This window comes from Homo sapiens, chromosome 1 (genome assembly GCF_000001405.40).
Source record: "Homo sapiens chromosome 1, GRCh38.p14 Primary Assembly".
Lineage (NCBI taxonomy): Eukaryota > Metazoa > Chordata > Mammalia > Primates > Hominidae > Homo > Homo sapiens.
Window position 1 is genome coordinate 73,666,488 of NC_000001.11, and position 12,159 is coordinate 73,678,646.

Below are 12,159 nucleotides of genomic sequence, written 5' to 3' on the forward strand. Positions count from 1 at the left end.
GTGCCTGGAAAAGCTGCAGGCACTCAATGCCATCCCATGAAAGCAGCCAAGAGGGAGGCTGTCCCCTGCAAAGCCACAGGGTCAGAGCTGCCCAAGTCCATGGGAACCCAGCTCTTGCATCAGTGTGACCTGGACGTGAGACCTGGAGTCAAAAGAGATCATTTTGGAGTTTTAAAATTTGCCCCGCTGGATTTCAGACTTGCATGGGCCCTGTAACCCTTTTGTTTTGGCCAATTTCTCCCATTTGGAATGGCTGTATTTACCCAATACCTGTACCCCCATTGTATCTAGGAAGTAACAAGGTTGCTTTTGATTTTACAGGCTCATAGGCAAAAGGGACTTGCCTTGTCTCAGATGAGACTTTGGATCGTGGACTTTTGGGTTAATGCTGAAATGAGTTAAGACTTTCGAGACTTTTGGGAAGGCATGATTGGTATTGAAATGTGAGGACATGAGATTTGGAGGGGCCAGGGGTGGAAGGATATGGTTTGGCGGTGTCCCCACGAAATCTCAACTTGAATTGTATCTCCCAGAATTCCCACGTATTGTGAGAGGGACTCAGAGGGAGGCAATTAAATCATGAGGGCTGGTCTTTCCTGTGCTATTCTCATGATAGTGAATAAATCTCGTGAGATCTGATGGGTTTATGAGGGATTTCGCTTTTGCTTCTTTCTCATTTTTCTCTTGCTGCCACCATGCAAGAAGTGACTTTCGCCTTCTGCCCATGTTTCTGAGGCCTCCCCAGCCATGTGGAATTGTGGAATCTCACTTCATTTCATTCATTTGAACTTCAATCACTGATGCCCTTTCTTCCAGTTGATCGAATTGGCTACTGAAGCTTGTGCATTCGTCACATAGTTCTCGTGCCATAGTTTTCAGCTCCATCAGGTCCTTTAAGGACTCTCTGCATTGGTTATTCTAGTTAACCATTCATCTAATCTTTTTTCAAGGTTTTTAACTTCTTTGCGATGGGTTCGAACTTCCGTTAGCTCGGAGAAGTTTGATCTTCTGAAGCCTTCTTCTCTCAACTCGTCAAAGTCATTCTCCATCCAGCTTTGTTCCATTGCTGGTGAGGAGCTGCGTTCCTTTGGAGGAGGAGAGGCACTCTGATTTTGAGAATTTTCAGTTTTTCTGTTCTGTTTTTTCCCCATCTTTGTGGTTTTATCTACCTTTGGTCTTTGATGATGGTGACATACAGATGGGGTTTTGGTGTGGATGTCCTTTCTGTTTGTTAGTTTTCTTTTTAACGGCCAGGACCCTCAGCTGCAGGTCTGTTGGAGTTTGCTGGAGGTCCACTCCAGACCCTGCTTGCTTAGGTATCAGCAGCAGAGGCTGCAGAACAGTGAATATTTTGCTGAACAGCATATGTTGCTGTCTGATGGTTCCTCTGGAGGTTTCATCCCAGTGGGGTACCCGGCCTTGTGAGGTGTCAGTCTGCCCCTACTTGGGGGTGCCTCCAAGATAGGCTACTTGGGGGTCAGGGACTCACTTGAGGAGGCAGTCTGTCCGTTCTCAGATCTCAAACTCCATGCTGGGAGAACCACTACTCTCTTCAAAGCTGTCAGACAGGGACATTTAAGTCTGCAGAGGTTTCTGCTGCCTTTTGTTCGGCTATGCCTTGCCCCAAGGCAGGCAGGCCTCCTTGAGCTGTGGTGGGCTCCACCCAGTTCCAGCTTCCTGACCGCTTTGTTTACCTACTCAAGCCTCGGCAATGGAGGGTGCCCCTCCCCCAGCCTCACTGCCACCTTGCAGTTTGATCTCAGACTGCTGTGCTAGCAGTGAGCAGGGCTCTGTGGGTTTGGGACCCTCCAAGCCAGGCACAGGATATAATCTCCTGGTGTGCCATTTGCTAAGACCATTGGAAAAGTGCAGTATTAGGGTGGGAGTGACCCAATTTTCCAGGTGCCATCTGTCACTGCTTTGCTTGGCTATGAAAGGGAATTCCCCGATCCCTTGCACTTCCTGGGTGAGGTGATAGCTCACATTGCTTCAGCTCATGCTCGGTTCACTGCACCCACTGTCCTGCACCCACTGTCCAACAAGCCCCAGTGAGATGAACCCGGTACCTCAGTTGGAAATGCAGAAATCACATGTCTTCTGCGTCACTCACACTGAGAGCTGTAGACTGGAGCTGTTCCTATTTGGCCATCTTGGAACCTGCCAAGTGTTTTTTCTAAAGAAGTGGTATTTGTATGTCTTTTTATAAGCATTTGTACAGTTTTTTATATAAGTGATTTTAAAATGATGAATTTGGCACCTTTTCCTCTACAGTCATTTATTATTAATACCATTGATGATTTTAAGCCATGAGTTCTTTACACTAGGTGTTATTTTATTTATTTGCACAAAGACTGTAGGAAAAGGCTAAAAAGAAAGATAATGAGCAAAGTTAACTACTGTATGTTTGGGGGTTGGAAATGCAAGCTTTTTCTTAAGTTAATATAAAATGATGTATTTTATTATTTTATTTCTGAAAAGACAAGTAATAAATTTAAAATTATTCATCCAAAATACCCAATAAAAAGCATTTCTCTATCTTAGTACATGGATATTATATACTCAATCCTTTAATACATTTCATGTCATTATTTAGAAAATTTCATTATTCCTTTCGACCAAAGGGAGAGTCAGAATAGCTTTAAAAAACTGATAATAAGAAATGGATGGTTTAGAAATAACCTTCCAATATTCAGATAATCTGTCACCAAAAATAAAATAATATGTGACAATTGTTGAGCTCTTACTTAATTTGGAGCAATGTGTTAAGCACTTTCTAGGTGAAAATAGGTGTTAAAAATCAGATCTGGAAGTACAAAAGAATATTTCTGCCTGTGGAGATATGATAAAAAAATCTTTTTGGAGGGTTTCTTTTTTTTTTTTCCAGGGACAAAAACATGGAAAATAGGGGTATATCAGATAAAGTAAAAAATGGACCTGAGGCTGAAAAAAACATAGGGGTCAGAAGTTTAAACTTGATCTTAAATGGAACAGGGAGACTCTGCAACTGTGGATGCATACACACAAATTTGTATTTGGAGATGACAATTCGTTATATTGCAACATTCCAAATATATAGTAATATAATCCAGAATTAAAGCACTAGCCATAAGAACTGAAAGAAGAGGGTATATATATATTTTTAAATCTCAAAGTAGAAGTGCAATTATTTGGTGACAAAATGGATATAGATGATCATGAACAACAACAACAAAAAGATGACTCTAGAGATTCTAATTTGTCAAACTAGAATTTCTTATTATTGAAAAATTATTAAAATCAAGTGTATTGATGGCAAAATAGTTTCATCTGAGATGTTTTAAACCTCTCAAATGTTAGAATTTCACATAGACTAGATCAAACACAGCAGTAATTAGTAATGTTACTAAAGCATAAATGATTCCTCTGATTTGCCCTTGTGAATTATGAAATAGTAGCTCTCAGAATATAACTTTTCTCCTAGCAACTTAGTGATATTATAAGAATTATAAAGGGAAGATTTAAAAAATACACAAGTTCTAAATTATGCCCAGATTTTGTTATACCATGAGGGGCTGTGGAGTAGGAGGCGATGAGTGGTGATATTTGTCTGTATTTCTCTTCCTCACCTCCAGCTGGAAATTAAAGTATTATAACAATAACAAATAAAATATAACAAAATGATGTGTATTCATCATGCAAAGTAGAGATATGAGTGTGTGTTTTAATGATCTAGTCAACTTCTGAATTTGGAACATATGGCAAAGATAGGAAAAAAATATGATCTGACTATAAATTTGCTGATCAGTTGGTACTATGAATATATTGCTCTACACATCTTGGGGACTTGAGAAATGTTCATTTAAAAAATGAAATTGAAAACCTGTTTTTTCAAATGTTCCCTTATCACATTCATACAATTTTGGTCATAGAGTATGCATATTAACAATTGCAAAGAAGAAATTTAATTATGAGAAGACACTGATGTGCTGAAAAGATCACTGGCTTGAAGTCGGATAGCTCTGGATTCCAGTGCTGGCTTTTTTACTAGAGTTATGTGACCTTGAAAAAATATGTATTGAAAGTCATTTTCTTCATTTAAAATGCTAGGATAGTACAATATAACTCATTGTCATTGGGTTCTTGGAAGGATTAGCTTAGATATCACACATAAAAAACACTTAGAAAAAATCTGTGCCAGATGTGGTGGCACACACCTGTAATCCCAGCTACTTGGGAGGCTGAGGCAGGAGAATCACTTGAACCTGGGAGGTGGAGGTTGCAGTGAGCCAAGATTGCACCATTGCACTCCAGCCTGGGCAACAAGAGCAAAACTCGGTCTCAAAAAAAAAAAAAAACCCAAATCCGTGCCCTCTAAATTAAAATAAAACATTACAAAAACATAGGTCTGAATTAACTTGTCAATAATGTAGCCATTAATATTGAATATTTACTATTAACATAATCAGAATGAATCTGATACGGTTCGACTGTGTGCCCGTGCAAATCTCATTTTGAATTGTAGCTCTCATAATTCCCACCTGTTGGGAGAGAGACCCTGTGGGAGATAATTGAATCATGGAGGCGGTTTCCTTCATGTTGTTCTCACGGTAGTGAATAAATCTCATGAAATCTAATGGTTTTATTAAGGGGAAATCCCTTTCACTCGGCTCTCTCTTTTCACCTGCCACCATGTAAGACATGCCTTTTGCTTTCTGCCATGATTGTGAGGCCTCCCCACCTACGTGGAACTGTGACTACATTAAACCTATTTTTCTTTATAAATTACCCAGTTTCAGGTATGCCTTTATCATTAGTGTGAGAACAGGCTAATACAAAATCATCTGTGTGACTATGGGTTTTTTGTTTGTTTGTTTGTTTTTTGAGATGCAGTTTCACTCTGTTGCCCAAGCTGGAGTACAGTGGTGCAATCCTGGCTTACTGCAACCTCTGCCTCTCAGGTTCAAGTGATTCTCCTGCCTCAGACTCCTGAGTAACTGGACTTACAGGTGCATGCCAAGATGCTCAGCTAATTTTTTGTATTATTAGTAGAGACTGGGTTTCACCATGTTGGCCAGGCTGGTCTCAAACTCCTGACCTCAAGTGATCCACCCACCTCAGCCCCCAAAATGCTGGGATTACAGGTGTGAGCCACCATGCTCAGCCTTCTGTGTGATCATATTTAAAACAAACATGGAAACACAAAGCAAAATTAAAATAAACAAACAAAAACAACAGCAACACCAAAAGAATGACCTCATTAGTTTTAATAAGCTCAAGAGATGGTTTCCATAATTCTATACTAAGACCACAAGTATCACTGGAAATATGTTGTTGAATATGTACTAAACGCCAATAATAATTATGCCATTCTTCTTCTTCAGCTGTTCAGTTTGAAATAATGTTGGGTTTACTGAAAAGTCACAAAAAATATTAGGGAGAAATTCCATATACCATACACTCAGATACACCTATTTTTATTTTACTACATTTGCTTTATAATTCATATAAATATATATACATCACACTTATACATAAACACGTCAATGTATGACCATTTTATTTATCTATATATATAAATAGTTGTTCAAGTTTATTTTTTATTTTTGCGCCGCTTGAGAATAGATTACAAACGTCGTGTAACCTTATCCATTAATACTGTAGTATATATTTCCAAGGAAGAAAGGTATGTTTTGTATTTCAAAATAAATTAATTTAACATTGATATGTTTACCTTATCTATAACCCACATTCTAATTTTCTCAATAACTTCTTTAGATTAACTGAATAAGTCTCCATGAGCACAGGTAATAATAAATAAATGCATAACCAACTAACTAAAGTAGTTAATTAACAATGAAGAAAGGAATGTGGATAAATTGTAGAATTAGATAAGCAACACTTTGCAACCAACATAGTAATAATTGATATGGGCAAGAATTTAAACAGAAATTTGATAATCACATGGGGAAAAAAGTCAAGCAAATTGAGCAAAATTGACATTACCAGACAGACATCACATACCTCCAGATAAAGTACCCTAAAAAAAGGACACAACAAAGTTTTTGTGGTATTTCTACTGGGAAGCATAAATCAAACTTAATCATGAAATAATATTAAATCATTTATTTTTTAAAAGAAACTTGTAGCAACATCAATTCAGCTGTTATCATCCTATTTTCTAGGCCTAGCACCAGAGACACTTTCCAGAGAAGAATTTGACTTTTCTTTTGCCCCAGACTGGCAAGCATTTAGCATCACGCTGGATGCAGATTATGACTGAGCTCTGGAAGAATTCTTTAAGGAATCAGAGTGGTAGTTGCTTATAATACTCAAGGTCTGTGACTTGTAGGCCTTTTCCTCAACTTGGAGAACGTAAACTAGAAAATAGGAAATTAATAGTTCCTAAAAATAGGCATATATTGCTAGCCATTTTCTCATTAATAATTGTTCCAGAGACAAAAATTTCAACCAAAATTTGCTCAAGCAGCATGTTGTATAGATGGAGAATGTATATGATTCTACCCGTCTGTCAAATTCATAAGTAAAACGACACTCTGCCATGCAAATTAAAACAAACATGCAATGCAGAGAGTGGTTAACTATATTCTCCCCTTCAAGTATATCATAGTCTTATGCACTTGAAAGGAGAATATCACTAAAATTATTTTGAAAATAAAAGTATATCTTTCCAAATCAACATTCTTGTGTATTTATTGAACACCTGCTTACCTGTCAGAGGACTGTAAACTGTACTGAGATCACTATTTAAACCAGTTATAGAGATTACCGTTGGAAGTGGAGAATCAGTTCTCACCAAATACTCTGAGTTAATATTCAAGTCAGCTCATACTTTCTAAGATTATTAAACTAACATCTTCCTACAAATAGCTTATTCTCATCTTTCATTAGGAGGAAAATTAGTCCTGAGTCCTCCTACCTCCCGGTACCTATCACTCACCTCTTAGTACAATGTTAGATCCTGGGTCCTTCTATCTTTCTGTACCTGTCACACTTATTTGTCGTGGTTTGGTAGCGCTTAAGAAAATAATAGAATGCAGATTACCTCTGTTTTATATTTATAATGAAAACTGCATTGTGAGTCTGGTCACTGGTCAGTTGTACAATACCCCCTTCCTATATGATTTGGGGGATTTAAATACTGACTATGACCTGCTGAGATTTGGGGTTGTGTAATTTTTTTTCTGCTTCTTTGGCTCTCTCTGGGTCTATTATATTATGACTTGTTTGTTCTCTGTCTGTCCTCTGCCTGTCACTTAAGACTGAAACGACACCTCTTATGCTAAACTGATAACATCAGTATGTGCACCTTTCCTGAAGTTTAAATATAGACCTCATGGCTATACTGTATTTTTAATAGATAAAAATTATTCATTCACTGTAATTACTAAGTGAACTTTTAATACAGGCCATTTCCCTTCTTACCCTCACAGCAATTACCCGCTGTATATGACTGAAAACAATAGCATCCTTTTAAAACCAAAATGGCGATTGATACATATTAGATGCAGAACTATATTGTTTGCAGGTTAGTAACTGTGGGAAGACTGTATTCTTATCTGTTTAATTAATGATGTAGGCTTTTATATTTGGCTTTCATAAGAAATCTGTTGCCTGGTAACAGATTTGCCTGTGGGCTCCCAGAAGAAGCTGGGCTTTCTAAGCAAAGCACCCTGTTGTCTTATAAATAGGGCAGTAAAGCTTGCTCAGACATGCCTTAGGCATTCAGCAGTTCTTTTCCTGTACAAGTATCTGATTCCAGCTGGGAGGTTTCCTTCACCAGACACACTCAAGTGGACAAAGAAAAAGAATAGCCCCAATTTCCATTTTAGCCTAATACTATGAAGAAAGAGAAGAGACCAGAGAGATATTTGTTCTCATTTCCCAAACTGGCAAAATAAACTACTTTAGAGAAGTATTAATTAGCTGAAAATAAAAATCAATTATAATTCCTGGACATTTAGCTTTAGGACAAACTAAAGCACAGTGGGACAATGGCAAGCAGTGTAATCAAAACAGAAACACTGAAAAAAATCCTATTTATAAAAATGGATTCTATAAGTTATGTATCTCTGAGCACGAGAAAAGGTTTTGTTCAGTCGGGGTAACTATCCCCTAAGCTACCTTTTATCACTTGTATGAAATTACCTTCTATTTTTTTCTGTACAGCTATTGGTTGGTTTGCTTGTTCTCTATGCCAATACAAGTTCCAAGAGGGTAGGATGCTTTCCCTGTTTTTCTTCATCTATGCTCACAATACCTAGAACAGAAGATGACACAGGTATGTGCCCAGTAAGTGCTTTCTGAATAAAAGTACTTTAAATAGTCTATGAGCTCTTTAAGGACAGAGGCAACGTAAAATTCCAAGGTTTTTTTAATTGGTTTTAGTTTTGTTTTATTTTTAAATTTTCACTGCCCAGCACATGATTGTTTTTCAATTAAGTTCTATTAAATGAATGGTAGCATGAGTGAATGGATGGATAGCTGAGTGGGTGGAGGGATGGATGGATGGATGGATGAATGGATGGATGGGATGAATGAATAAATGAAGAAATAAATGAGTGAATGAAGAAAAGAAAGAAGGAAGGAATAATGAAACCTCTTTCCTGGTGAAAACTGAGTTAAAAGCTACTAACATAAAAGGACACCATCTAGTGGTGACTAAATAACAACAGGTGAAAGTAGAAAGCAGACAGTACTGAGGACGTGCTCGAGAAACCAATTTTGACATAATCACTAAATGACTGTGGGTGTGTGGAAGGATCAAAATTGTTGCCATATATTCTAAGAATTTACTATAATTCATATAATCACTAAAATCTGTTTCAAATACATATTTTTACCATTTTAAATTTAGCTACTACTTACTGAGTGCTTAATATATTCTAGGTACTATTTTCAAATTATTTCTAATCTTTAACATATATCTTCTTTCATTCACACTGAGAAAATTAAGACAGGCAAAGACTAAGAGATTTGCAAAGCCTCCATATAAACTAAGTAAAATATACCTGTGCTGTGTAAAATATACCCATGTTTTGCAAAATAAATTGAGGAGAAGCATTCTATATATATATGTATTTAAATGATATCAAAATCCAAGTAAATGTTAAGGGTCTAAAGTAAATTTAATATTTAGAATTTACCTGCAACATGGAAAAAATATTGACCATAAAAATGCTAAATCTTTCTTTATCTTAATATCCTGGAATATTTACTTAAGAAGGCAGAAAAATCTTACAAGAATTATATACTAGGTAAGCATGTGTGATGTTTTGTTACTGTTGTTATTGTTATTTTTGTTTTTTGGTATAAATAGTAAAGATTTGATGTCTACATGAAGTACACATAAAAAGTTTAGTCAAATTTTTGGCAAATTAGAGCATTTATTAAGAATGGTTAAAGTCTCAATTATAGAGTATCGAATTTTGGGGGTACTATTAAATATTTCAATACTACCTTCAATTCCTTTAATTACTGCTTAGAGATTTACTAGTAGTTATTTTGTAAAGGGGAGGAGCTTTATAAACAAATGTAAATGACTTTAATGTATCCTATGCTAGCACCACAGCAATGATTTATATTAATATCACGTGTCTCAAAGTAAATAATACCTTCTTTTTCTTAAGGCAAGAGTTATTTCTTAAAGTACATTTGTATTTCTAAGCTACATAATTGGCTCTGTTAAAACAGTGGAATAGAAAGAAGTGAAAAATTAAACTCATTTAATAGAAAATATTTTCTCTGTTCTTGAAAATATCTAATCACATCATATATACTAGTGTTGCAACCTGCATGAAGTAGCAAGTAAAATACCCATCTTTCTTTCTATACATTTATAATAGTTCGCTCCCAAAATAGCCATTTTGTTGCAGCTGTCATGTTGGAAGCACATCAACTTACTAGCAAGTCTAGGAGGGGATAGTAAGAAACGATGGCAAAGCAATGGTTTCAGAAATATAATGTCACAGATTGAGCCACGTGAAACAGAGCAACCCAACTCATTTAATGTAGTATAAGTAAAACTGTTTTATATAAATTTATTTCTTGAAATTCAACTCTTGATTTTGAAGCAAAGCCCATAATCTAAAACTCAGTACCCTCTAAAATGTTATAATACTTTATCATTTATACCATCTGGCCCTTCTGAAAATAGGAGTCTTTCTTATTCCTGGAACTCATAAATCTGTTCATTCAAATATATATCATCATTAATAAGTAATTAATAAATATATATCTATCAAATAAGACTAAAAGTCTTCATTTGCTTTTATTATGCCCTTAGTGATACATCTTTGTAATGCTAAATAAGCTGCTACAGTAGTAGTAGCACTAAGTCATTGTGGTTAAGCATGCAGACTAGAATCAGGCTGCCCCAGTTCTAGCACTTGTTAATATTGTGACCTTAGCATTACCATTTTGCATTTTCACAGGCTCATAAAATTAAGATAATAAAAATATATCTGTCTTATGGGATTGCTCTAAAGATTAAGTAAGACCAATGATGTGAGGTATCATTATTAGCTAATTCCAATAGGATAAAAGTAGCATATAAAATATTTTTGGTATATTCTACAGAAAATAAACTTACTCAATTTAATCTAACTGAAATTTTACAAAAGTCATGGGCCTTGTAGTTTACTTCACATGTAGATACCAATCAAGAAGCAATTTGTCAAGAAAATAGCATGAGCTAGTTCTCTTAGAATCTAGATACCATATAAGTGCATATATGAGTTCAATAACAAAAAGTACCAATACTCAATTTTATTATGATTGAGCTAGAATTGTGAGCCCATTTTTCACAGAACAAAAACAAAAGTCAGATAGGAAGAGTAATTGTAAATGAAATAAGCATTTCACAGAGATCACTTAGATCAAGGACAAAACAAAATTCTAATACCTGGTACCAATTTTCTGAACTTTAAATAAAACCAATTTTTTATACTGGGCCATGAATATTTCTTCCAAAGCATATTTCCTCCAAAAATATTTCCTCTGAAACAATAATAAAAGGCAGGGAGCCAGGCATAGTTGTGCATTTTTAAAACTGTCAAGTTGTAACTTAAAAGAGTAATCCAAATTAAAAAGAGCATTTCAGAAAAAATAGTTTATTAATCCATAGTTAAGTCTCTTCTCTAGTCATCTACAGATGAGTATTTTGGAAAATTTCAATTCTTTTCAGTTATCAGATCCTTGATTTTAGACAATACTTAGTATTTGCAGACATTTATGCCAGTTCACTTGTTCGACACAGAAGGCTAACAGACCACCAATATTCATGGTCTTCTACAGTATAACATTTGCTGTCTCTCTCGTATCTAGATGGTGCTATGTGACTAATTCTGGTTAATGAAACATGATCAGAAGTGATAAGTGTCAATTACAGACTGTCATTATTAAGTATACGTGCTCTGCTCTCATTTTTAATCAATTTAAAAACCTAGTTTTACAGATGGTAGGTTCACAAAATGAATGAAGCCTGAATTAGTGAGAGACATCATGTGAAAGAGAGCCACCCTGTTGAGCTACTTGATAAGAACATCAGCATTGGAATTTATATAAACAAAAAATAAAATTTATCATGGTAAACACTTTAATTTGCAGCTTGCTTCTTTAAAAAAGTTAGTCTACCTGAATAATAAAGATGTCTAGACAATTTGGAGACTTTGGAGTCAATTTTCATTACACTATAAAATTGATCAATTATTAACAAGAAAGTTGTTCCTAAGGAACATCATAGGAATAAAAGACCTGTTCTTTGATATGAATTTCTCTAGCATCTTTCCTCTGTATGTCAGGCTTCATTTCATAAAAGTTTTGAAAATTTATGTCTTCGTTACTAAGTATATATATTCAGACTCTATCTTTTAGGAGCTCAGAGACATGTTAAAGAGATGCTGGAAGTACACACAAAGGGCATAGAAGAACAGAAGAGTTGAAATTTCAACCTTCTTTGGTGTATCAGGGAAGTTTTCATCTGATAGTTAATTTTTAAGCTAAAATCTATGAACAGGAGTTTGACAGATGGCCAAGAGGAGTGATAGATATTTCAGACAGATGGAACCATATGAAAAATGACAGAAAATTAGAAAAGGAATGGCATGGAGATAAGTTCAATAAGGATAAAGTCTGGAGTTCTGGTGGGTAGTACTGGGGAGG

At 35.6% G+C, this 12,159-nt stretch overlaps 1 long non-coding RNA gene across 1 annotated transcript in view; it reads left to right on the plus strand.

Moving 5' to 3' along the window:
* Window positions 1–8,191: 8,191 nt before the first annotated feature.
* The window catches only part of LINC02238 (long intergenic non-protein coding RNA 2238), a 63,964-nt gene continuing 59,996 nt past the window's right edge, over window positions 8,192–12,159 (plus strand). The window contains exon 1 of the long non-coding RNA NR_146300.1: window positions 8,192–8,289. This is a non-coding gene — a long non-coding RNA (long intergenic non-protein coding RNA 2238). The remainder of the gene's footprint in view (window positions 8,290–12,159) is intronic.